Genomic DNA, 27,632 nt, shown 5'->3' with positions numbered 1-27,632 from the left:
TCATAGCCTCGGAGAGTTTGGTGCAGGAGGCAGACATTTAAGCAGTCAACTATGACACAATGGTGAGGGCAATAATGGGGTGGTGGGCATGGTCCCCCCTAGAAGGGAGAGAGATGCTGGGACCACCTTCCCAGATGGGAGGACATGGAAGCTGGACCTGGAAGGAAGGGGCAAGAGCTGAGGGAAATCCAATCTAAGCAGAAGGAACTTCTCGTGGAAAAGCGTATCTTTACTAGAAGCATGCTGAGCTTCCAGATTCAGCAGAGCTCCTCTTAGCTGTCTGCCAGACAGTGTTGGGGGCAGCTGGAAGTGTGTGAAAGGGGTCTCCCATGGCACACCAAGAAATAAGACCTTCTCCATTGGAGAGTGGGGGGCCACGGAGGTTTTGTTCACCTTAGAAACTTCACACTGCAGCAATGAGGGGGAGAGCAAGGTGGACAGAGCTGCTGTGTCTTGGGGAGCCCAAGTATAGCTCTCCTGAATGCCAAGGTCTACATGCAGGGAGAAGCTTTACCAATCAAGTGGTCCCTCAAGTCTAAACAAGTGGCACCGTGGCAGAAGTTACTGACAAAGTAGCAGGGGCGGCTCCTGGGCGGGTGCAGGGACAGTGTGCAGCTCTCACATCAGTGTGGGAGGTCATCGTACCTGCTTTTCCAGATCACCCATCAAGCCAGAAGAAGGCCCCATGTTGGACTGCAGCTCTGATAAGTGTGCCAGTCATTGGGATTATGAACCATAATGCCCATCATCAGTACACAGTGGGGTTGAACCAGCAGCAGCAGCACTTTCCTTTTGTGATCAAAGTGCCCCGGATGAACACGGCCATATCTGATATAAATTCAGTGTTGATGTCTCAGAGCATTTATGAGAGCAACTTAGAGCCATGATGAAGAGTGAAGCAGGCATGGCCGTTAGCAATATAAAGTCATCTCTCTCTCCTACATTTCATACCTATATTGGCAATATAAAGGAATCTCTCGCTCCTTCCACCCTTCTTCCACCCTCTTCTATCCCTCTTCCACCCTTGAAAGGAGACAAAGCCAGTTCATATTCCAGATGGGGCCACAGGTAGCACGTTCCTTCCCAGGTTCCTTCCCTGTCATCACTCTGCCCACTCTTGTGCTCTTTCTAGCTCTAACTGTCACTCAGTTCCAATTCTGGCTGCCACACGCCTTAGCCACACCAGGCTGCACCATCTCAGCAGCAGGCTGTGATAGGAGGACTGGCAGAGGTGGTTTACCTCAAGAGATTCCTATTGGAAGAGGAAGGAAATAAGGAAGAACTGGCAATATATGTATAGAATAGGCCTATCTGTAGTGATTTAGGATAGAATGGGGGAATTGAAAGGATAAGGAGGAGAATTAACCCACCAGCACCTCCGTCAAGCTCTCAACATTGATAGAAGAAAGAAATCACAACGAGGCAAAGACAAAGCCTTGCTTTTTAAGTGAGCCACAGCAGAATGGACACCTGTCTAACAGAGTAAGAGCTCCATGGGGAAAAGTCCAACAGCATCAAGATATCCCTGTGATCAAAACCAGCAAATCAGGTGACCTAGATGAGTGGCATATTGCTTTATTAGCAATTATTCAGGGGAATGGTAAAAGAAAGGAACAATTCTATTTTGAAAACAAAAAAATGGGATTTGATACTCAGCTCTGACAGCAAAGGAGAAATGATCACTAAGACTCTGTGATGTGGGCTGGGAGTGTGGAGGAATCACCTCAGTCCAAAGTTTCACTGGGTTCTAGAAGAACATTAAAAGGAAGGGGACACTTAGCTACTATGATTTCTTAAACGTCTCAGGCGACACTTACTGCTGAAATTCTTTAACATATTTAACAGAAAGTCTCTTCTGACATTTTCCACACAGCTAATCTTTCTGATTTTTCAGAGCTAAAAGGAAGGGACAACAATTGAGGCAGTTTGGAAACTTTTTTTTTTAAGTCTTTTTCTCAATTATGCAGGACTAAACTTGGAACCTTTGAACTCACGGACAAAAGCTATAGTCTGCTGTGGGATTTTGGACAGTATTTTCAATTTTACAGATGAGGGAAAAGGCACGGTTTTCGTGCAGTCCATCTCTATTGCTTAGATGCCCGTGACCATCTCCTAAGCTTGTCTCTGATACACCAAAGATGCACCAAATATACACCAAAGATACCGGGAAGGTACCAGCCCCACGGCCTCTCCCACCGATTCCGGCCTCGTGGAATCTTTGCTCAACAGTGTAGTATAGGTTCACATTAAATTCCATGAGATAAACAGTTGAATTGGTACTACCTCCTTGACTCTCTGTAGCAATTATCAGATGGCAAACCGATGATTATCATCTCACTAAGACATTTTTCACTTGTAAGCTGATGCTTAGACATCTCTGGCCTCGAGGATACGGTAATAGATTCAAGGGCACTCACTGCCATTTCCACTGGTTACAAGACAAGCCATCTATGTCCAGACTAATAGAAACTCAGAAGTCTCAATGATCTGGATATTTTAGAATTTCCTTTTCATTTGAGGCTTGAATTAATTATTCAGATAACATCTCTAATTTTCCATTTTTTACCTTGTATGCGGAAAACAGCAGAGATTAAAGTGCGGTCTCGCTCCAGAGAATAAGAGCTGTGAAAGGAGCCTCGAGATGTGGGGGCGGCAGACAGAGCCTGCACCTCGTGGTAAGTGGTGGCAACGGAGACCAGCTCATTGCAGCGAGGCCCCTGACTTGCCATTCACACTGCTTCTCAGGCTTTCTACAAAGCTCCAAGAGACTAAGTATTAAAAGGAAAGTGAGACAATGAAAGTAATTTGGGTTTTTCCAAGAGGAAACATCAGTGCTGAGGAAGCTAGAGCCACAGGTACATGCTACTGAGTCTTAATGCCTCACACACTGCAAGACTAGGGCTTTGCTCTTTGCAAAGGACAGGTCTCATTGCCATCGGTTATCAGAGATAAACTCATCATGTCAGTGCCTCAATTATGATCCCCAGTCGGAGGCTGGCATATGACTACTGCTTTATTAATACTACTTGGAGGCAGTTAGAAGCACATGTCAGGGGGACTGTAAACTGCTAAGGGTGCATTTCCCAGCAGGGCTTCATTTATTTATTCAGTCAACAAATGCACATGCCAAACCCTGGAAAATGAACTGAAATAGAAATCATGGCCTCTGCCCTGGAGATTTAGGACTTATTCGCGTGAAAATTTAATAACTCCAAATATTCTATGGAGTTTTCCATACCTAATTGCCAAAATGAGGTTGTTAGAAGAAAGCACCACTGCAGGGAGAGAGTGGGGTGAATATTCCAGACAGGGCGAATGGTGCACTCTATTCCAACTAGAATATAAAGGTACCAGGGCACATACTCTAAGTCCTATCCAATCTAAATTGTTTTTTTTCCTATTTTTCCCCAGAAACAGGGTCTCACCCTGTCACCCTGGCTGGAGTTCAGTGGTGCCACTAAAGCTCACTGCAACCTCGAATTCCTGGCTCAAGCTATCCTTCTGCCTCAGCTTTTTGAGTAGTTGGGACCACCGTCATGTACTATCATGTCTGGCTAATTTAAAAAAATGTTTTTCTAGAGACAGGTCTCTCTATGCTGCCCAGATTGGTCTTCAACTCCTGGCCTCCAGTAATCCTCCTGCTTTGGCCTCTCAAAGTGCTGGGAGTATAGGCGTGAGCCACCATGCCTGACCCAATTTAGTTTTTTTTTAGAAAAATCACTATGTTGTTTTCTAGTGACTCCACTGTATATATGTTTAAATTGCCATCTTATAAACACACTGGAGAAGAATCCTTAGAGCCAAACCCAATGCAGCTGTATTTTTCAGTCTTAGAGTGTCCATCAAAATCTGGGCAGTAATTTTCATCTCGATTACAGGAGCAGCGGAGGCATGATGGATCCTTGCTGTGACTGGTGCCTGGACATCCCTGCCAACCACCTTGGAGAATGGCACCTTCTGAGTGTGCCTGAACCACTCTTCTCCTTGGCTACCACTCTGAGTACTATCCCTAGAGACTACTGGCCACACACATCCACAGTCTCAATGTCCACAGAAGACATTGTTTTGCAGCATGCAAAAACAATCTGAAAGATGATAAAAAGCAATTTTCATAATTAATAAATTTCTACCTGCTGATTAGGAAGTGTTAGAAATAAATAAACAAACAAACAAGTGTAATTGTGACATTTTGGCAAGGGTTCCAACTTAAGGACTGAAATGTGCCCTTGCTCTGACTGTATCTAATTCAGTTCAATTGAACAAACATCCATTGAATATCTATTGTTTGTAAAGCTCTGGGCTAGCTGTTGTTCAGCATATGATCTCTGTTCTCAGGTCAAAACAAATGAGGCAGAAAAAGCTGAATGCATGAGATGAAAACAAAATTAAAAATAAAACAGCCTTCTTCCTGGAGATTCTAATTCAATAGGCTGGATGGGGCCCAGGCAGCTATATTTTACCAAGCATCAGCTCAGCCTGGTTCTGACCAGCAGGCAAGCACTCAGAAGGAGGCCATCACTGTCTCTAATTGGTGGTTGTCACAAAAAGCTGCAAAGGGGAGGTATAGTCACCTTGAGATATTTCAACAACAACTGCATGTTAAGTGCCTTGAAGGCACAGGTCAGACTTGGGCAAGTGGAGGACACAGAAGGGGGATGTTTCCAGCAAGGAGCAGAGCTGTGGAGGCCGCAAAGTGCACCCTGAACGGCTGGCCCTCTTGAGAGATGTCAAGAAGAACGTTGTTGGAACAGTTCATTTCTAAATGAACTCATCAGCCTTACTTTTTTCCATTAGTTCGCATTTGGCCTCATTTCTCAATCCAGAATGATGCAAAGGAGCCATAAACCTGAATTAAGACAAACAAAAGTGACATGGATAAATTTTCCTTGGACATCAGAGCACCAGGGTTGAGAGAGGAGAGAGGAGGGCTCATGTTTCAACTTGAGGCTTCCGCAGCTGCGTCCACAGCTGCGCCGCCAAGTTCAGAGTTGAGCATTCATGAGTGTGTGTCTTGTCATGAACCAGGGGCCTCACTGTCACCACTAGGAGGACACACCATAGACCTTCCTGGGCAACAAGAAAAGCTGAGCCACACTCTGCAAATTCCAAAGGCCTGAGAGAAGTCCAGAGTCGGGACTTTTGAGGAAAACCAGTCCATGCTAAAAATTTGAAAAATACAGAAAATTAAGAAAAAACAGCAAGGCCCCATAATTATGTAACACAGAGACTACCAGAATAATTATGCAGAAATATTTCCTGCATTTTTCCTTCATGCGTTTTACAAGATAGTTGGGACCACACATTTTTGTATTCTGCTTTTTTAAATGGTTAACTATTATAGTAGAAGAATTCCTCTTATGTGATTACAAATATATCACAAAATTATTTCAATAACCATAACATTTTAACACATGAATATTTATAATATAATTAGCAAGGTAATTCTATTTTTGTAACTTTAGGTTTCTTTAATTTTTCTCCATTATAAGTAATGCTAATTAAGCAGGCATGACCATGGGCCAATGAAAATATCTAAGTCAAAAGCAGCAATTTGTCTATAGATTTGAGTTTTTAAAAAATGATTAAAAACAATACGTCAATGTCATAGATGCCACTACTTTTGGAAAACAGTTTATTGCATCTTTCTCTGTTTATCTGGTATGAGTATAAATGGGCTTACAATGAAAAAGCTCCCTTACCAAAGTGATGTAGGAATTATTGCTTAGAGCTATGAGACTGAGAGATAGTGGGATATAAACAAAGGTCTCTTCTAAGGTCTTTAAAGGAGCTGGAAAATACGTAGGTCATGCAGATGTTCCACTGCCGCCACCAGCCCCTCCTCCACCACTCCTCCCCTCCCCCTTGGGCCTCTTGCCTCCCTGCCCTCTGGTCTTGTCTTCATTCTAGGGAAAGTCTCCCTCCAACAGCAGGCTGATCCAGGCCCCCCTGGGGAGTGGGACCTTCTCCGTATTCAGTATTGGTGTCTGCATCAAGGATGGCATGACAGTGGAACATCCCTGAACATAAAGATTGGGAGAGTGAAAGGAAAATAAATCTCAGGACTTTAAAAGCACTAAGCCACAGGGAAAATTCATGCTGGGAATTGTCTTGGGCCAACCTGCCTCCTATTCTATTCCTAAATAAGATAGCTACAAAGATAAAAAAGCCATATACCCCCCTCACAATTATAAAAAAGCTATATACCTCCCTCACAACTATAAAAATGATATACACCTCCCTCCCTCTCTCACAAAAGGAAATTCCTTGTGGACAAATAACAGGCAGAACTCAAAGTCGTCCCTCTGCTCACACGAGACAATGCATACCTGATTTTTTTCTTTTTTTGCCCTATTGTTTCACTAAGCCAGACTAAGGCATAAGTGACTATTCCTGTAAATTGTGTATTCAGTGAAAAGCTAATCAGAAACTCTAAAGAATGTAACTGTTTTTTTCTTATCTGCCTGTGACCTGGAAGCCCCCTCCCTGCTTGGCGTTGTCCTGCTTTCCGGACTGAATCAATGTACATCTTACATATTATACAATGTACATCTTACACATATAGATTGAAGTCTCACGTCTCCCTAAAATGTATAAAACCAAGCTGTTCCCTGACCACCTTGGCTCATGTTGTGAGGACCTCCTGAGGCTGCGTCACAGGTGCATCCTTAACCTTGGCAAAATAAACTTTCTAAATTGATTGAGACCCGTCTCAGATACTTTCTGGTTTATGGGGACAAAAGCTTTTGAAGTCAGACTGACCTGGGCTTAAACTCTCTTCCACCTGCTGCACAATCCTGACCAAAGACTAGGCTCTCCCAATGTCAGCAGGTTCAATCAAATAAGTCCTGACCCCTTCAGGAAATGTTGCTACAGCCACAAAACTGGAAGCTGGGACTGGGATGGGGACCGAGGAGCCAAGTATTAGCCAGGTGAATAATCTGCTTTTTTCTGACTGCATCCAGTGAGACCGGGAGGAGCTAGTTTTACAGCAACAGTGGCAGCTGATTCCCCAGGACTTCTGGAAGGCTCCTGGGAGGCTGAGTCACTTCACCTCTCTCTGCCAAGAAAATGCTATCTTAGAAACACCCTCCCTCTCTCATCCTCCCCCCTCCCCCCATGGGAACAGCTAGTTGCAGGACTATTGCCATTGTCTTGGAGATCTTCCCTGTTGTGGTCAGGTCACCTGTGTGGATGTACACGTTGCTCTTAAAGCCAGTTAGTGGACATGCCAAAGGCACCAGAGCCTCTGTGGTCCTAGGAGATGCAGCACCCTTTTTCCTTTTGGGAGTGAGCAGCTCAAAGTGTTTGGAAAACAGTGCATTTCACTGAGAGGTTTCCACTGCAATGCACATGAGAGTTTGCCCCTGCAGCAGCGGTCCCCAAACTTTTTGGCACGAGGGATCGATTTCATGGAAGACAATTTCTCCAAGGACAGTGTGTGTGGTGGGGGGTGTTTTCAAAATGAAACTGTTCCACCTCAGATTATCAGGCATTACTTATGTTCTCATAAGGAGCATGCAACCTAGATCCCTCAGATGTGCAGTTCACAATAGGGTTCATGCTCCTACGAAAATCTAATGTCGCTGCTTGTCTGATGGGAGGTGGCACTCAGGTGGTAACGCTTGCTTGCTGCTGCTCACCTCCTGCTGTGTGGCCCAGTTTTTAACAGGCCATGGGCTGGTACCAGTCTGTGCCCCAGGGGTTGAGGACCCCTGCCCTAAGGGTTTAAAGGTTATATAATGCACTAAAATTAAAGTTTCTAATTTAAAAAACAAAATCCTACCACCACACTAGAGGCTTTCTTCAGATCTGGAGCACTCCTTTAGGCATGTGATGCTGAAGGTTGAGGACTGAAGCTACAAGAAATGGCGCATTATTTGATACACGTATCTGAGGCAGCAGAATAGGGTCTGGAGACAGGGAACCTAAGGTTGTTTCATGCCGACTTCCTAGGACTAAATTGAAAGGAAAACCCTAACTTTCCATGCTTAAGTAACAAAAGGACCAGAGGCTACTCCCTTTGACCTTGTCTGCACTGCAGATGGGAATTTGGCTGTTTGTAACCAATCAGACTGATTGTGGGCTACCACTTCAGTTACAGGAGGTGAGCATGAAGTGGCCAATGGGAAACCTCTAGGGGGTATTTGAACCCAAGAAGATTCTGTATTCGGGCCCTTGAACCGCTGCTCGGGTCTGCTCCCACACTGTGGAGTGTACTTTCATTTTCTTTTTTTTCTTTTCTTTTCTTTTTTTTTTTTTTTTTGAGACATAGTCTCGCTGTGTCGCCCAGGCTGGAGCGCAGTGGCACAATCTCGGCTTACTGCAACCTCCGCCTCCCGGGTTCAAGCGATTCTTCTGCCCCAGCCTCCAGAGTAGATGGGACCACAGGCGCCTTCCACCACGCCCGGCTAATTCTATTTTTAGTAGAGATGGGGTTTCACCGTGTTAGCTAGGATGATCTTGATCTCCTGACCTCATGATCCACCCGCCTTGGCCTCCCAAAGTGATGGGATTACAGGTGTGACGTACTTTCATTTTCAATAAATCCCAGCTTTCGTTCTTTTGTTGCTTCATTCTTTCTTTGCTTTTCTGGGCATTTTGTCCAATTCTTTGTTCAAAATGCCAAGAACCTGGACAACTTGCAGTCACAACCCTCTACTAGTGACATATCCAGATTTTGCCTTGTACTATCATAGGGGCTGAGCTGAAGACAAAGCCCTCACACCCTGCTAGGAAAGTTTGCCTCACATGCATAACTTCAGAGAAGAGCCCCGGGTGCTGGGTGACATGTGCTGAATGGAAGAGGTATGTCACCAAAGGTCACCTTCCTAGCTCTGTTCCCAGTCCTCCTCTCCTCACACCTTGCCACTTACTGCTCAGCTGTCCCCTGAGCTCCCTCTCAGGCTCTGGGCCACACTTGTGCTTAGTCCTTGGTGGGGAATTTCAGGTGACACAGCAAAAAATACAACTGGCTTCTATTCTACTCTGACTTTGTGACCCTGGGTATTAGTTGGGCTTCAGTTGTTCTTATAACTACACCTTTGCCCTGATGCCTTGTTATCAAGGCTGGTTTCCAGGGGCCTTGTGATACAGAGGAGAGAGCATGGGCTTTGGGTCTGGACAGACCTTTGCACAAGTGCTGGCCGTAAAACTTAACTAGCAATGTGTTCTTATGAAAGCTAGTTGGCCTCTCTGAGCCTCCATTTCATCAGGTGAATAACCATCCTGGCTGGTTGTGATGGGGCTTAGGACACATTATCCTAAGATATGATTGTAGGAGACCAGAATATGCCACCCCAAAATATGCCTCTTTGGCATAAGGATTATTTCGAGCTGTTTATTTTGAGAAACTGCAGATGCAGAGAAGCTCTGAAACTGTTACCCTTTTGTAAGAGAAATTTACATCTATAAAGGAAATCTCCATTTGTAAGAGTTTCTCTCTCTCAGCCCCAGGAAGAGAAGGGTGACCCTGAATCACTAGAGACTGAATTAATGGAGAAGGCAGGGACTTAAAACTGCATAAAAAGCCTTACCTTTGTTTAAAGTGCTTTTCCTGGCCTCCTAATCTTAACTGGGCCTTTCCCTAGGCCCTTCTCTCTTTGTATTGGAGAACGATGTTATTTAAGCCTGACTTCTAAGATAATACTTTGAAATCTACTCGAGATTTACCCATTTCTCTGAGTTTTCCCCCATGAACAGATGAGATATACATTATTAAACTTCTGTTTGTTTTTCTCTTGTTAATGTTAATCTGTCTTTTGTTAGAGGGAGTCCCAGCTAAGAATTCATAAAGAACTGTAGAAAGTAAAAAGTTTCCTCTTCAAAGTTTCCTTTGTTGTTGAAGAATAAATCGTAAGTGTTAGAAATAGTAGTTTCTTTTAAAGACTAACTTCCTTCAAGTTTCCTTGCTTTGTGCTAATAACTCTTTGTTAAGCCCTATCCTATGTAGCTGCTAAATATAAAGGAATAAGTACATTCTATGTCCTTGTACTTTAACCAAGATATTTGTGCAGGACATGCTCACAGGAACGTTCCAGCTTGCAGCCTATGTCCCTTCCCTACTTGGCATAAGCAACTTCCTCTTTTCCTTTGTTCTCCCTTGCCTTTACCTATTTAAAAAAAGTTTTAAACTGTTAGCCAATCAAATTCAGTTTAGATTGTGAAGTCTAGCTCCAGCCAATGGATGCAAGACACAGCAGTAAGGATGATCCAAATGCGTAAAGGATAAATATGTCTGCTTTTCCTTTGTTCAGTGTACTCTCGTAGCAAGACTGCTAGCAGGTGTACCCTTTCTGCAGAAAGTAAAAATTGCCTTGCTGAGAGAACTAAATTTATGTTCGAGTGCTATTTCTTTGCAGCACCACGGAACAAGCATTCTGTTTCTAAATAAACATTGTACATATAACAGCGTGGAGGAGAAAACTATTTTTCCCCCCTGCAGATCTAAACAGTAAAGGGAACTGAGGTGGGGTTCTCTTGGCAATGGTTCATGTTACCACTGTGAGTATTCTCCATATGCAGTCTTCTCTTGATGGAAACTTCATCCTGGCTCCTCTGGGATGGGGTCCCTGCCTCGTCCTGCTATTCTCCCTGGACTGAAAACTGCTCCTGGAACTTCGTTCCACCATGGCTCTTAGGTCTCCACCATGACAACAGCTGGCTTGGATCCCAAGCACTGCCTCCCTGGGCCCCACCATGGGCACTCATGTGGGGGACTCCCTGTTGGCTTCAGAGACCCTCTGACTGCATGGACTATCCCCTACTACTTGTCACTGGGGCTCTGGACGTTATGACGTCCCTGTCAAGCTCCTAGGGACTGTAAACCAAAAATAAAATTCAGACATTGCCCAACTGACGGGATGGACCCCCTCTTGGCCAGGATGACCCCAGAGGAACCTGAAAAATGGAATTCCCATCCATGACAAGAAGGGAGGCCAGACATGCCTCGTTATACCCCCTCCCTTCTGGAGTTTAGGCACAGCTAACCAGCATTGAGGTTAAAAATCACAAGACCTCTATTTTATAGACAGAACAGGCTCTTTGTGGCAATAAGATACCAATACCAAATTATAAACAAAACCTAAAGCCATGCAATGCAAGTCACACCCTACAAACCATAAAATCTCATTAAACAGGCTTTTAAAATTTATCTTGGTGTCATGTGGCTTACTTTCCAAACTGACTGTGGTATAACATCACATGACAGATAGCAGACCCTGGAGAAAATAAAAATATTTTACCCCCAAATATATGTCTTTGACATCTTTTGAAATGGCCCTGCAAAGCTGTCTTTTGAGGGGGAAATCTGCATCTGTAGAGAATCTACATGAATGCAGACAGGCCTTCACTTTCCAGACCTTTCTTAGATCTAGGAGAGATTAAGTAAGAGTCTGACACCTTAAGTTCTGAAAAGAGACATTTACAATCTGTCTTTCTGAAGCCTTCTACCGATAAGGCTTCATCTACATAACAAAGGCCTTGGCCTCCACAACCCGCTTTATCCTAACTCAAGCTTTCCTTTCTACTGACTTCAAGTCTTTAGACAAAGCTCAACTCTCTCAACCAATTGTCAACTAAAGAATCCCTAAAACCCATCTATGACTTGCAAGCCCCCACTTCAAGATGTCCTGCCTTTTCCTGCCTAACCAGTGTACACCTTCCATGTACTGATTTATGTCCTTTCCTGTAACTCCTGTCTCCCTAAAATGTATAAAACCAAACTGTAACCACCTGGGCCACACTTTCTCAGGACCTCTTGAGATTGTTTTCCAGGCAGTGGTCACTTATATTGGCTCAGAATAAACCTCTTTAAATATTTTACAGAGTTCTGTTCTTCTGTTAATAAGACCACCTATGGGCCAGGCCAATGGGCATATGCCTGATCTACCAATGGTGGCTGGATTACTGTCCCCAGGGTCCTCGTTCCTCCTCTTCCACACTAGCCCATGACCTCCTAAAGTCCAAGCTATCATTCAGACAAGTAAGAACATCAGGGAGGTCTCATAAAGAGTCTGGAACCCAACCCCTGTAAGGGTAGAGCTGCCACTGCATGTAGGGACAGCATTAGAAAGTGCTGGAGGCTGGGCGTGGTGGCTCATACCTGTAATCCCAGCACTTTGGGAGGCCAAAGCAGGCAGATCACGAGGTCAGGAGATTGAGACCATCCTGGCCAACATGGTGAAACCCCGTCTTTACTAAAAATACAAAAATTAGCTGGGCGTGGTGGCACATGCCTGTAATCCCATCTACTCGGGAGGCTGAGGCAGGAGAATCACTTGAACCAGGGAGTCGGAGGTTGCAGTGAGCTGAGATCACGCCACTGCACTCCAGCCTGGTGACAGAGTGATCGATACTCTGTCTCAAAAAAAAAAAAAAAGAAAAGAGAAAGTGTTGGAGATGGCACTCCATTCTTTCACTGGATGGGAATTGGGAAATGCCTAGTACCAGCCAGGCACTGTTGTAGGCCATGGGATAAATTGGTGAGTTAAAGAGACAAAAGGCCCTGCCTGTGTGGAGCTTGTATTTGACTGCGTATAGCGCACCTGGATATCCCCGTAACTAAAATATAAGAATAAGGCAAGAGAGGTAGGCTGGGGCCAGGTCTGGGGAGCCCTGAATGTCAGCAGAAGAATTTGTCTTTGAGCTGAATTACCAACAGTGGGTGAGATGAACCACTGCACATTTGTCAGAAGAGTGGAGAATAACAGGGCAAAATGGACTTTTAGAAAAATGTCTCTGACAAGAGAGGGTGGGTGAATAATGACAACAAAACCTTTGCACAGCATTTTCCAATTTATAAGAGGCTTTATCAGCTATCACATCTCACAATCCTCCTGGGCTCTGGGAGTCAAATAAAGGCTCCACTCAGAGACAAGCCTGGGCACTGAGGGAGGAACTAGCCTGGGGCCACAGGATGAGTGAGTGGAGAGCGGGGCCTCAAAGCTCTGCCTTGTGACATCTCATCTTCTAGTCTGTATATTTCCCTTTCCTAGCAAAGACTGTATTTACCAAACACAGTGCACATTTTCTCTTTAAGGAGGGTGTTCAACTTAAAATTATGGAAAGCTTTATTACAATGTTTGCAGAAAAATGTCAAGAGAGAAGAATACTACCAGTATTGCCTGGGGATTTTTTTCAAATACACATGGCCACCTTCCTCCCTCCCTGCTCCCGGATTTTGACAGTGTCACTTAGATGTGTCTAATTTGCAAGAGCTCCTGTGACTCTACTACCTACAGCCTTCACTGCAGCATGTCCAGCTAATTCCCCTCCTCTTCTCATTGAGAAAGTTCAGTCCTGGTGGTTTGGGCTGTGTGTTTAATTGAAAAAGCCCTAGAGAAAGAAGAGATGTTAATATAACACTCTTGATGAAACAAGACAAGGGGAATATGTTTCCCATTTGTAACACACAGAAAATCTAACAATGAGTGCTGGTGGGTTGCTTTCCTCAACTATCTCTGTCTACATGGATATCTAATATGCATCTCAAGCCCACCTCCAAAAACAAGTTCTTGATTATCCCAGCCTTAAATGTGCTCTTCCCCATCTCCGTAGATGGTAACTCTATTCTTTCAGGTACCAGACTGAACACCTAGAGGCATCCTTAATGATTCTTCACACTCCTCAGGTACAATCCAGCCAATGCTGAAATGCAAGCTGTCTAAATCCAGACAATGCTGGCTTCAAAATCTGCCCTGTCCTCTGACCACTTCTCAGTCTCCCACTGCTATCTTCCCAGCCTCAGCCACCAGTATCTCTTACCTGGTCTATCAGGTCTCCTGACTTCTATCTTACATTCTGCTCTCCACAGAGCAGCCAGAGAAACCTTTAAAAAACCTAAATCAGGGATGCACATGGTGGCTTATGCCTGTAATCCCAGCACATTGGGAGGCTGAGGCAGGAGGATCACTCTAGGCCAGGAGTTGGAGACCAGCCTGGGCAATATAGTGAGACCCTGTCTCCAAACAAAGAAGAAAATGAAAAGAACTCTAAATCAGATCACATCCCCTCTGCCAAACCTTCCATGACTTCCTTCTCCCACCATTGCCTCCTTTTCCCTTGGGTCCAGCAACCCTGGACTCCTGGCTCTTCCTCCTGCCCGCCCATCACAACCCTGCCTCGGGGCCTCTGCACTCCCTACTCCCACTGCCAGGAATGTGCACCCCCAGACATCTCTGGGCCTCTGGCTCTCCCTTCATCAGGCCTCCATTCCAGCATCTCCACAGTACCTGCTCATCTACTCCTCCCTAATCCCCTGTGTAACATCCTTTGCCATGCTCACTCTCTTTCCCTATTCCCTGTATTATTTCTCTTTACAGAATTTAACACCACTGAAAACAAACATACACTCCGTTAGTTTATTGTTCATTTCCTCTCACAACAAGGTACATTCCATGAGGACTTTGTTACGTTCACTACTACGTACCTCCCCACCACCCCCAACCATCCTTAAACAACTCCCCGCTACCCCCAACCATCATTAAACAATGCCCGGGACACAGCAAATTACTCAATAACTTTTGAGTGGATGAATGAGAGAATGTCATTGCTATCATTGTATGCAAATTCTTCAAATCTATTGACTTTCACATTTCATTAGTATGGACAACTTAAATGATGACCCATGAAGTTCAGGGTGCTTCAACAAAAGGCAGGCATTCATGTAGCATATGGAGCTTCCTGAACTCTGTCCACAATTTTCAAAGTCTATGTAGGCCGAGACTATGACTTTTTAGTAGTTATAAGGTGTGATTCTGGGTGAGGCCTTGGTTGGTGATATCCCTCCTCCCAAACACCTTTGGGGGGGTGGGTGGCAGTTTGAACTTTTACCGGGCACAAAAATCATTTAAAAAGTGACAAACGAAAACTGCATTTGCCAATAGAAGTAGTAAAGAAAAAATAATAGCTGCCATTTTTGAGAGCTTATCATTTGCCAGCACTTTTACTAAATATTCCTTTAAATATTTACTATAATGAAACTGGCATTAAATTTACTTTCCCAGGGTAAAAACTGAGCAATGGTCAACTGGACAATCAGGAGAAAGGAAAATGCAGAAGTCAGCGATCCTGGTTGCACTACATCTCTGAAGGTTTGAGGACCCAAGCTAGCCTCAAAATCAAGGAAGGCTGTCATAGGGCACCCCCATCATAGGCTTGGGCAGTCTTGATGGCATTATCACTGGGCTGCATGCTCTGTGCTTCATGTGGTCCCAATAGTTGGATCTCAGAGGTCTCTTTTCTTCAAGGGAAACTTGTCTGTTTGGACTGTGCTGATTTCTCATCATCTCTCTGTTCAATTCATTTCTCTACCTGCCCTCCCTCCAAGTCATCCACCCTCTCAGGGTCCTGAGCTCCTCTCTTGAAAGCAAGGGCAATAATGTACTTACCCTCTGGCTTGTCCTTTCCATCTTGGACATGGCTCGAAGGTCTCTCTGATCTATCTCTGTGGTCTCTGATTTTTTGCAAGCCATATGACTTACTGACATAGACTAAGACGTCCCTAACTAGTTCTTGTGTTTAGACCACTGGCCTTTGCCAAAACTTGGATTCCTAGTACTTTCAGTATAATCTATTACTTCATGTCTAAGCATTTTCCTGGGATTAAAAAGAGTTAGCTTGCTATCTAGCTCACTGTCATTTATTTATTTTGCCCACTCAGTTTCTTTATTTTATTTTATTTTATTTTATTTTTTGTTGAGATGGGGTCTGTCACTCAGGCTGGAGTGAAGTAGTGCAATTACGGCTCACTGCAGCCTTGACTTCCTGGGCTGAATAGATCCTCCCACCTCAGCCACCTGCATGAGCCACCACACCCAGCTATTTTTAAAAATTTTTTAATAAAGATGGGGTCTTGCCATGTTGCCCAGGCTGGTCTCAAACTCCTAGGCTCAAGCAATCCACCTGCCTTGGCCTCCCAAAGTGCTGGGATTATAGGTGTGGACCACTGTAGGTTCTTTATTTTTTATGACTTTGGGTGGGCTCATTCCCGACTGCACTCCTGATGAATGGTTACAGTCCAAGTGGCATATGACTCATGAACTTCAGAGATCCTCATGGACCTATGCAGGCTGAGTTTTGATTTCCTAGTCCAGTGGTTGCCAACCTGGGATGCATGTTGAAATAGCTTGAAGAGCATTAACCAATGCAGATGTCTGGGTCCTAGCCTCCAGGGATTCTGACTTAACTGGCCAGTGGTGAGGTCTGAGTATCACGGTTTTTCAGAGCTCCACAGGTGAGACCCTGATCCAGTTTGTCTACATATCTAATCCCAGGAAGCTCTCACAACAACCTGTTCCATTTCCCCCTTTTGTCTTGAGCTGCATTTTACTGTGTCTATAAATATTGTCCTAGCAAGACCCAGTTAGCAGTAAGACTTGCTCTTTTTAAAAAGAGCTGGTCCATTTTTTACCCAAAAGTTATAATAAGTTAATATAACTACACTTAATAAATTCAAATATGAGAACCTTAAAGCAAAAAAAAAAAAATCCATACAGAAAGCACATAAATGTGAATAAAGCACAAAAGGAATAAAATCAGAGCCCTTCAAAGTTTCACATTATAAGACCTGGGGCAGTCCTGGCTCTGCCACTTGCCAGATCTGCAACCTTGGGTGTTTCTTAACCTTTTTCCTCCACAATTTCCTCATTAATAACATCAAATGTAAATTATATGATTTCCCATGTTTGTTGTGGAAAGAAAATGGAATAATACTTGTAAATGTACCTCATAAGGTTATTATTTTATTAAGAATAGAATAAAAATTATTTCAGGGAAGGGAAATTGGGGAGATGTTGGTCAAAGGATACATTTGACAGGATACATTAGATAGAAAGAATGAGTAAGTTCAAGTGATCTATTGTACAACAGGGTAACTGTAGATAATAACAAGGTATTGATCTTGAAAATTGACAAGGGAATAGATTCTTTCTTTCCCTTCCTTCCTTCCTTCTGTTTCTGTCTTTTTTTTTTTTTTTTTTTTTTGTAGAAATGGGTCTCACTTTGTTGCCCAGGCTGGTCTCAAACTCCTGGGCTCAAGCCATCTGCTGGTCTTGGCCTCCTAAATTGCTAGGATTATAGGCATAAGCCACTGCACTTGGCCCCAAGAGAATAGATTTTAAGTGCTCTCGCCACAAAAAAATAAGAAGTGTGTGAGATAATGCATATGTTACTTAGCTTGACTTAGCCATTCTACAATGCACACATATTTCAAAACAACATGTACATGATAAAGAAATATGATTTTCATTTGTCAATTAAAAAATGTTTAAAAAAGAAAATTATTTCAGATCTGGGAAAAACAGTCCTCCCATTTCCTATAAGATTACCTGTCACTAGGCAGCCTGCAGAGAACCAGGTGAGAAGGGTCCCCGCCCCACGGTCCTGCTTTAGAGTCACGTATCTCAAACACAGGAGAGCCCTGCTGCTGGAGACCCCATTATTAGCCCAGGCCCCTGACTCAATCCCCACATCTCTACTTCCCTTGTCCTTGAATCAAAGGGCAGACGCATCCTGGTGCTGGGAAGAGGTGTGGCTGTTCCACTCCTGACACTCAAGGCAGCCGCAGCTGGGGGAAGATTTCAGAAATGACACGCTCAGGTAGGAGAAATGACAATTTAATTAACTTGTCAACTGTTTCTCTCAGAAAACATGGAGGAAATAGATTGCTGCATTAAAAAAGCATCCTTTCCCAGCTGTGTCCAGTCTTATGTTTTTCCTCTTCCAAGTCAAGGTCCTACTTTGGGGTCCCACTTTGAGGGACGTTTTGCAATATTGAACAATATATGTTACTCTTACATCGATATATCTGTAGGTCTAAATCAGTGCTTGGTAAACGTTTTGGTTTCAGGACTGACCAACAATCTTGAATATTATTGAGGATGCTAAAGAACTTTTATTTATGTGGCTTATATCTATCAGTATTTATTATGTTAGAAATTAAGGCAAAACATGCAAACTATTTATATTGGTTCATTTGAGAACAATAAGAAACCCATAAAATGGATAACATATTTTATGCAAAATAAATACATTTTCCAAAATTAAAAAAAGTGAGAATTATGGCATCATTTAACATTTCTGAAAATGTCTTTAAGAGCTGGTTTAACAGAAGACAGCTGGATTCTCACACATACTTCTGACTTCAATGGGTTGTGATTATCACACTTCATGGAGCTTCTGAAAAACTCCGGTGTTCACTCGTGAGATAATGAGAGTGAAAAGGTCAAATAAAATCTTAATATTGCAATGAAATTAGTTTTGATTAGTTTTGACCTTACAGACCTTACTGAAGGCTCTGGGGGCCTTCCAGGGGTCCCCAAACTGTACACCGAGAATTTCTTTCTTTCTTTCTTTTTTTTTTTGGAGATAGTCTTACTCTATCACCCAGGTTGGAGTGCAGTGACAAGTGACATGATCTCGGCTCACTGCAACCTCTGCCTCCCAGGTTCAAGCAATTCTCCTGCCTCAGCCTCCCGAGTAGCTGGGATTACAGCTGCTTGCCACTGCGCTCAGCTAACTTATGTATTTTTAGTAGGGATGGGGTTTTCCCATGTTGGCCAGGCTGGTCTCGAACTCTTGACCTCAGGTGATCTGCCTGCCTTGGCCTCCCAAAGTGCTGGTATTACAGTCGTGAGCCACCGCACCCAGCCAACACTGGGAATTTCTGTTCAAGATATGCTGTGAATATCATGCTGTGAAGCATAATATTGATTCTATACATTGTCAGTTAGATGACTGTTGGATGCTAGAGAGGCAAATGGTCTTATAATAATATTTAATAAAATATAATTATTGAAAGTGTTTAAAATCAGCTTTATTAGTGACTTGCATTTAAATTTGGTATTTTATTTAACAATTTTAAAAGATATATTTAATGATATCTATTTATTATATTTTCTTGAACAGTTTGTGTCTCACTTTATAACTTCCAAATACTTAATCATATGTTCGGTCTCTCTTCTTATTCTTGCTCTGCTCTGGGCCTGGCATGTAGTGGGATTTGAGACAGCCTGTGAACACTGAACACTAGGCAAGAAACATGCCCATAGGGGCTGGAAACGACTTTACAGAAGGCAGATCTGACCCTTGTCGCCAGCTCCTGTCATCCGGATGGCATCACAGGGAAGGAAGTTCTCAGCAGATGAGTGAAGTCAGCGAAAAAGAGTGTGATGCGGGGCCCTTGCCACAGCAGCCCTTGCCTTGTCCTGCCACCTGCCTTTCCTCCTGCTCTGTTCATTAAAGTGATGCACCAGCCACTGAACTGGGTTTGCCCATTAAGCATCCTGGCTGGAGGGACATAAGTGACCCATGCACACAGCCGTAAGAGGCACATTCAGTGATCTAAGCTGAGCAAGACATTGCTCCTGCTGTAAATACATGTCCTTCAATCTAGCAGTAGAAATTAGACCTGTAACTAAATAGCTGCACAACTAATATCTGAGGCAGAGTGCAATAAAGTCACATTGCTCTATGACAGCTGGAAAGGAAACACAGTTAAGCTGGATGAGGGACTCGAAAAAGGCTCATGGAGAGAGTGTCAGACATGTTGGGACTTAAAGGATGCAGGGCAGGACTTTGAGTTCTTGCACATGCAGGATGCCATAAGAATCCAATTCTGAGCTAAGCATGGTGGCTCACACCCATAATATTAAATCCCAGCTACTTGGGAGGCTAAGGCAGGAGGATTACTTGAGGCCAGGAATACAAGAGACTAGCCTGGGCAACATAGTTAGACCTTGTCTCTCTAAAAAAAAAAAAAAAAAAAAAAAAAAGAAAGCAAAGAAAGAGAACAGAAAAAGAAAGAGGAGGATCTAATTCTGAAGGCAGAGCTAGAAGAGGCTTAGCAAGCAGTCTGGTTGTTAGCTGCAGTGCATTTGAGGGAGAGTGGACTGAGAGAAAGAAGAGCTGAGGCTGGAGAGGAGGCTACAGACTTGAAAGAGCTTGTGTTTGAAGTCAGGTCTGGGTTTAAACTCCAGCTCTCCCCTTGCTATTGTGATATTGCACAACTTCTGAATAACAGGTTTTCTATCTGTAAATGAGGAATAATTGTATTTCCACGATAAAGTTGTTTGAAAATCAGGGCTAATTCATGTATAGAGCTTGGCACACAGCAGGTGTCCACCCAATGTCAGCTATTGTTGGACACCAGCTGTGGAGAGCCTGGTGCAACAAGTCGCAGAGAGGGGCTCAGTCTGCAGGAAACAGGAGATAGGAGATGCCGTTTTGGAGCTGAGCCTGAGACAGTGATGGCCATGACGCAAATGATTCGGGCTGGGGCTTCCTGCAGTGACAGGGCCAAAGGCTGCTGAAGGGACTCTCAGCAGTGCTCTTTGCCACTTGCTTGGGTGGGCGGAGGTGAGGGGTGCAGAACTGCTGTGATGAGAAGCAGCGGGTCAGAAATCGCCTCACCTCCACTCCCCCAGTCAATGAGTGCAGGATCCTAGAATCTTAAGCCATCAAAAATCTTAAATGCCAATTTTCATGGGGGGAGAAACAGCCCCAAACAAAACGGGAAAAGAGAATACTGTGTCGGGAATGCATGAAAACCTCAGCATTTGGGTTACATTTCCAGTCTTCCTCTAACTGGAGACTTCCCCTCTCTTAACTGCCTTCTCCCTGTTCCTCAAACCCATTTGCTCCTAGTGAGCAAGAGTGTTATTGTCCACCTGAGGATATAGTTGGCTGGGGTTCTTTTCTTCAAGTGTCTCAAAGTGTTCTTTTCTGGCAGTGTCTTGAGGTCCTTTGTGTGTTCGTTCTCTTTCCAACAAAGTTGTAAAGGGAATGAGCCGAGATCCATTTCAGATCACAGAAACGGGGTGCTGGCTTTCTCATTGTACTGGGATTATCACGAGTACTCATCCTCCTCTCAAAAGTCTTCTAAGTGTGCTATTGTGCTCTTGCTTAAATTTGTAAAACTTTTTCTCCTTGTATTTCTGCTCACCAGGAACTACAATTCATCAAATAAAAGACAAGCTGGCAAAACTTGTCTTACGTCTCAGTGGCCTGGGATTGAGGTAACTTAGGTTCTAGTTGTCATTCTGCAGTTAACTAGCTGTGTGACTCGGCATTTTAATCGCCCTTTTTTGGAGTGGATTGCTATTTCCTAGAGTAAATTTGGACCAAATCCACAAGGTCCTGCCCCTCCCTGACACTGGACGGGTAAGGTCACAGGTGTTCAGTGGTGGAATCGCCACTCCATCTTGTGACCCTGCACTCCTGCACGATGCTATTTCCATGAGGATCTTGGATTAAACCAAAAGTGCAGATGGGCTCTGTCACCACTGGTGTTACCTAGAGGAGGCACTCTCTCCTTGGAGCATCTGACTCCTTTGGGAAAAGGTGATAAGAATTCCTAGTCCTGACCCAGCATCTGGGACAGAGATTTATCAGAGGATCCAGGGTCCCTTCACTCACCACTCCCTTTCCATGCTGAGACCACCCCAATCCCATTCTGACCTTCTCCTCTTCAGCCTCCCCAGTGAGCTGTGAAGACCATCTGTCTTCAGCAGATGCTCTGTCTCAGAAGATGGTCTAACTCAGAAGAGTTCCCCAGTGAAGGGAGCTCTTGGTGATTCTTGACCAAGGGGAAAGGCCCACTGAGCATCTACTGTAATAGTCGCTGCACTGCTGTGGTTTAGACAAAACAAGCAATGGTCCCTGTTCTCAAGCAACATAGAGTTTCAGGGAGACAGTCAAGGAAACAAATACACCAATAAAAATATACTTACAAATTACTATACCCCATGAAGGAAAAAAATCAGGTGCCATAAGAGAATCAAGGTGGGAGATATTTTGGAGAAGGTGGCAGAGGAGCTATCTGCAGAGAAAACACATCAGCTTCAGAACAAATGAAATGGGGACAAGGAGGGCGCACATTCTAGGCAGACGCATAGCCTGTGCAAAGGTATGAAGATGGGAATTCCCAACAGGTTCAAGGAACTAAGTGAAGACTAGTGAGGCCCCAGCATAGTAAAAAAGAAGAGCGTGGATGGTCGGGTTAGGCTCTAGATGAGGCAGAACCTTGCAGCTCACCGAGAGGATTTGCAATTTGGCCTAAATGCCATGGGACACTTTAGAGGGCAACAGGATCTGATGAAAGTGCAGGGCCTCTGGCTTATGAACAAATATTTTATTTAAAATGCTTCTTCTCACTCAATTGAAACTGTAAGGTAATCCCTCCCACACCCTAAAAAAAAGGACACAGAGAAGCATTTTGCTTTGTCTGCTACTTGTTCAAAATTAGTTCATAAAAATAAAACTTATTCAGTCAGTTCATTATCACAGAGTCCCCACAGCTGGAAGGGGAATGCCCTTACACATAGCACAAATTGAATACCCAACCTCAAGCCCACACCAAATGTTGAATCTGAAATAAATGGGTAGGAAATATAATCTAACCCAGCTCAAAGAAATAACACTGTCCTTGCTCTCAATCACTGAAAACTGCTGGATGTATTCATTTATGCAACTGACTTCCTGTAAGCCAGGGACTATGCTAGGCACTCCAGATACAGCAGCAAACACAGACAGAAATTTCTGTCCTCACAGAGCTTGAATCCTAATGGGGAGGAGACTACAAACAAGACAGTTAGGTAAATTATAATCTATATTAGAAAGGGATGAGGGTGTGGAGTGTGAGGCAGGGAAGGGAGTTAGGGAGCGTGGGTGGTTGCAATTGTAAATGCGGTGGTCAGGAAAGACCTCCTAGGGGTGACTTAGGAGGAGGAGGAGAAGTGACAACTTAGACCTCAAGGGAAAAAGCACTGGAAGCAGAGGGGAGACCAAGCCTGACACCCTTAAGCAGGTGCACCTGGGGAGTGGCAGGGAGGCCATGTGACTGGAGTGGAGAGAGAGGAGGGGAAGGGGAAAGAAGGCAAAAGGGGGATCAGATCACATAGAGCCTCGGAGGCCATGGTTGGGGCTCTGGGAGCCATCTGAGGCTCTGAACAGGGAAGTGACATGTTCCATGCTTTGAGAAGGCCCATGCTGGGGTCTGTGATGAGAACGGGCCGCATGGGTGGGAACAGGAGGAGCAGGTGGGAAGCCGCTGCAGTGATGGGGGAGCTGCCGCTTGCTAGAACCAGGGTGGGAGCTGCGGATGTGCCGAGAGACGATCAGATTCCAGATCTATTTTTGAGGCTAGAGGTTTGGATGTGGGGTGCAGAGAAAGGATGAGTCAAGGATGACACCACAGGTTTTGGCCGGAGAAACAGGAAGGAGGGAATCGCTGTTCACTGACATGAGGAAGATTGAAATGGCTGATGATCAGATAAGGATGTTGGCTGGAATATTTTAAGTTTGAGATGCTTATAAGACATCCCAGTTGAAGACCTCAAGCAGGAGCTGAATATTCAGGGGAACATTCAGGGGCAGGGTCTGAAATGGGCATATACATTTGGGGGTCACCTGCCAATATATGTTATTTCAAGTCACAAGAGTAGATGCGACCACCAGGAAGGGTATGGATAGCAGGAGAGGGCCAGGTCTGAGCCCAGGGGCAGCCCACAGTTAAAGGTCTGGGGGAGTCAGGGAAAGAGCCCAAGAAGGAGCACGAATTTGGAAAAAGAAAACAGGGAATGATGACTTCCTGGAAGCACATCAAGCTGCATTTCCTGGGAGGTACAGTCAACCGTGTCCAGCACAGAAGATGAGGGCTGAAAATGGGCCAGGGGAATTTCCAAAGTGGAGATCCTTGGTGGTTCTAACAAGAACAACTTTACTGAGGGAGTAGGAAGGAACTTCAGGCAGTCCAGATGCTTCTTGGAAGAAGTTCTGCTGGAAGAGGGGAGAAGACAATGTGTGGTAAATGGAGAAGGAAGTGGGAGATGACAAGATCTGGGAGAAATTGCTGGTGGATGCCTACGGAAATGGTCTAACTGAGGGAGAGAGAAGCTGCTGGAAAGACATCCTAGCAGGTGGCAAAGGGCAAGGCCTGGTGTGCAGGTGGGTCCCAGTCATGGCGGAGAATACAGTCATGGGTTCTTAGTTTCTATTTTTGGTTGGGCCAGTAAAGCCCCTTCCTCATCCCTCTTATCTGCTTATCAGTACAGACAGAAACGAAAAACCATGGCTTCAGGCTGCTAAACACCTAAAACAAAACCAAACGGAACAACAACAACAAGATAAGGTGGGTTTCACAAGCTTGGACATGCGGGCCGTTCACCTGTCATATAAAGGCAGGGAGGCAGCGTCATGGCGGCAGGTGGCAGTGGGAGTCAGTGGAAGCTCTTTTCTGATCCCTGCAATTGTCTCAACAAAGTGTGAAGTAGGGTCATCCATTGCCTGAGTAGGAGGATGGAGAGGAGATAAGGGAGGTTTGTTCATCTTCACATTTTACCTAATGAATGAACTGATTTCTCTTTCACATATATTATAAAATCTGTTCTTACATTAGATAGAGAAAGAAGAGGAGGACTAGAGAAAGGAGGAGACCAAAGAGCCCTGAGCATCCTGAAAATCCAAGAGAAAACCCAAATGAGGCTTCTGGCCAACACTGAGAAGATCCAACACATTTCTGAGTACAAATATAATCTGGCGAAGTGGGATTAGAGACGCCTGTATTTCTGCTGAACGCACTTTCTAAGCTCCGTGAGTGAAGGAGGGTTGCAGAGCATTCTGTATGGTTCAGGTGGTTGACTTCACTTTAGGAAAAGTAAAACTAAGAAAACAGAGAAGCTGGAGCATGTGCCAAATAAAGAACTTGCTCCTCAGGAGACAGGAAAGCTGAGCTAATTTTGTACGTACTATAAATCGTCAGTCAGCTTCAGTTTCAGATCTAGTTTCAAACCTGGAGTGTGCCAGTGGACAGGGAAGACTGCATTGGCCTAAAGCATTTAAACTTGCAAAAATAAATAGTATCATCAAATAAATAAGGCACATTTTATCAGGATTAGGCATAATTTATAATGACATAAAGATGATGGAATTCCACATGACACAGGAAAAGAACAGGCTACTTATGATTTTTAAAAGTAATTGTAATGTGAATTTCTACCTGCATTTTATTTTGACCAGTATCTTATTACCTATATATTTTTTAAAATGTAGTCTCTTTTTAAATTCTACAAACGACTGTGTGAGAAACTTATCCTTTTAAAATCAATGCCATACTGGGACCAGCATCACTGGAGGTCTCTATTTACTTGCTGGGACATAAGGGGAATTCTCAGGGGACCCCCACACACAAAGAGCTTATGAGTCTTGACATGGAAATCAATGTCCCTGGCCTTTTAGTAACTCTAAAGAACAGGCTATGCTAGGAGTCAGTCTGCTAGATTGATCCAAAATAAACTGTCCCTGGCATAGTTGTTATGTAAGATCATTTCTTACCATTTCTGATATCCCTTACACAGACAAGAAAAAAAATGAAAAGGTCACATCTTCCCACTGGGCCCCCATCAACAGGAACCAGAGCAGAGCCATCTGATAAGGGGCCTTCTGCACAATTGATTCTTTAAACCTCCTTATTCCTTAAACCTCTGCCTCTGTCTTCCAGTACAAGTATTGAATGCCATACACTATAATAGATCTCAATGTATGAAACAATTTTAACCACAAAAATCTAGTAAGAAAATTCAATAAGAGCTGACACTATAAAACACCATAAATCACCAGAGGTGGCCTGTGGATCAATTAGCAGGATATTGGCAAAACTCTGTAAAGCATTTGATTGAATAAACCCACAGCCACCTATCCAGCAAATTAACAATGACTGAAATTGTTGCAGGGAGTGAGTGGGGGAGGGTGGGAGGGTAGTGTGTGTGTGTGTGTGTGTGTGCGTGCGCATAAGAACAGACTACTTGGTGAGTAAATAGTGGAGGAAGATAGTGTGGATGAATTAATGACCAGGCTTCAAGGCAGCTCCGTAATTTGGGGAGGTGATTAGTGCATTTGCATCTACATTACTCTCCCTCACCCCTACTTTTCTAAAACTTAATACCATTTCTTCCATATTCACAGTTTTTATGATAAAAACAATGCTTACTAATTACAAGTAGTTTATAACAAATTTTTTAAGAAGCATTCAGAGAAAACCAAAAACCACCTCAAGCGTCATCACCCCAAGATAAGCACTATTATTATATTAGAGATTTCCTTCCATTCTATTTTCAATGCATGCATGTGTATTTTTCAGCCAACAAATACTATGCTGCATATACCATTAACATTGTGATTTACTTATGTAACATTATGTTATGAGAGATTTTTATTTTATTAAATAGTCTTAGGAGAATTCTTTCATAAAGGCTACACATTATTCCATATTATGGTATTACTAAATAGGATTTCAAGTAAACTTTTTGTTGGATTTTTAAAGATATTCTTAATTTTACACTATTTTAAATATATATATAATGCTGCAAATGAACATCTGTATAGCTTATTCCTTGCACCAATTTCTGAGTACTTTGCTCTGTTATTCTCTGAGGACCCTGATAACTCAGTGACACCATGGATGCTGAGCACCAAACTGCTTGCAAAGCACACGTAGAGACCCCTGGACACTTCCCTCTGCACTGAGTGCCCGTCTCAGGACATCTTCAACAGCATTGAGTTGTATAGTTTTTAATTTTTTTAATATGATAGGCAAAATGACAGTACTTTTCATTAGTTTGTGGTTTGTTTTCTAGCATGAGTAAATATCTTCTCATTGATTTCACAGTCTTTTTAAAGTTTTTACATGTCCTCACGTGTGACTCACATCTATCACATTGGCTGGTACACCATAGGTGCTCAATAAGTGTGTATCAAATAAAAACAATAAATGGAGAGATAGTTCGTGTCTATTTTTGTAATAGGATTTTACTGCGCGCTCTCTCTCGCTCTCTCTCTCTCTCTCTCCCTCCCTCCCCCGGGGCGTTCCTGAGTTTATTTGGGGCACACCCGGGGCGAGGAACCTGCACCTAAAAGAAGATGTTGGGCCTCTTGGTGGTGAAGCGTGGCCCGGCGGCACTTGTTGGCTGCGATCTCCTCCACCTTCATGATCTGGATGCAGTGGGCCTGGGTGCGGTGCCGGCCCATGGTGGTCAGGTCCCAGTATTCCCTGTATGTGTTGTGGGTGCAGCTCCGGGAGTCATAGAGCAGCCAGACGCTGAAGTTCTTTACCCGCAGGGGGACCTTCTCAAACACCTGTCCACAGTAGACAATCCAGCCTGAAGTCATCTTCATCTTCTTTAACTGAGATACAAAGTACCAGAAGCGGGACTTGGCGACGACATGATTTAGGCGCAAAGATTCGCATGCAGTAGAGGGGCAGTGTGTGGCATTTGGGGGTGGGCAAAGAGAGACCACCACCTTGTACTCTTTTAGTGCACCCGAGGCCTTCATGGCGTCCTTTCCGTGCCTGCCGCCACCCGCGCTTTTCTCCAGCACTTTGGGAGGCCGAGGCGGGTGGATCAACTGAGGTCAGGAGTTCGAGACCAGCCTGGTCAACATGGCAAAACCCCGTCTCCACTAAAAATACAAAAATTAACTGCGTGTGGTGGTGCGACCTGCAATCCCAGCTATTCAGGAGGCTGAGGTAGGAGAATCGCTTGAACCCGGGAGGTGGAGATTGCAGTGAGCCGAGATTGTGCCACCGCACTCCAGCTTGGGTGACAGAGAGACTCCATCTCAAAAAAAAAAAAAAGAATCAT

General features: G+C 44.1%; 1 protein-coding gene, 1 long non-coding RNA gene and 1 pseudogene across 18 annotated transcripts in view, besides 2 other annotated features; 1 reads left to right on the top strand and 2 right to left on the bottom strand.

The window, feature by feature from the left end:
• Positions 1-27,632, bottom strand: part of HECW1 (HECT, C2 and WW domain containing E3 ubiquitin protein ligase 1) — a 453,355-nt gene that overhangs the window by 264,519 nt on the left and 161,204 nt on the right. The window lies entirely within an intron of this gene.
• On the top strand, positions 1,172-4,140 carry LOC102724903 (uncharacterized). Its single transcript, XR_428133.5, has 3 exons — positions 1,172-1,549; positions 2,585-2,675; positions 3,879-4,140. It is a non-coding gene; the product is annotated as an uncharacterized LOC102724903 (long non-coding RNA).
• Positions 6,121-7,055: an enhancer, noted in NCBI's record as "H3K27ac-H3K4me1 hESC enhancer chr7:43334027-43334961 (GRCh37/hg19 assembly coordinates)". NCBI's record gives its function as "activates a minimal SCP1, AML or CMV promoter by ChIP-STARR-seq in naive H9 embryonic stem cells {active_cell/tissue: H9 hESC(naive)}" and the evidence as "EXISTENCE:reporter gene assay evidence [ECO:0000049][PMID:30033119]".
• Positions 7,056-7,991: an enhancer, noted in NCBI's record as "H3K27ac-H3K4me1 hESC enhancer chr7:43333091-43334026 (GRCh37/hg19 assembly coordinates)". NCBI's record gives its function as "activates a minimal SCP1, AML or CMV promoter by ChIP-STARR-seq in naive H9 embryonic stem cells {active_cell/tissue: H9 hESC(naive)}" and the evidence as "EXISTENCE:reporter gene assay evidence [ECO:0000049][PMID:30033119]".
• RPL18AP10 (ribosomal protein L18a pseudogene 10) lies at positions 26,849-27,354 on the bottom strand (annotated as a pseudogene).

The sequence above is a fragment of the Homo sapiens genome, chromosome 7 (assembly GCF_000001405.40).
Source record: "Homo sapiens chromosome 7, GRCh38.p14 Primary Assembly".
In the NCBI taxonomy this organism is placed as follows: Eukaryota; Metazoa; Chordata; class Mammalia; order Primates; family Hominidae; genus Homo; species Homo sapiens.
The sequence above is the reverse complement of the archived record's forward strand: the minus strand, read 5'-3'. Positions and strand labels throughout refer to the sequence as shown.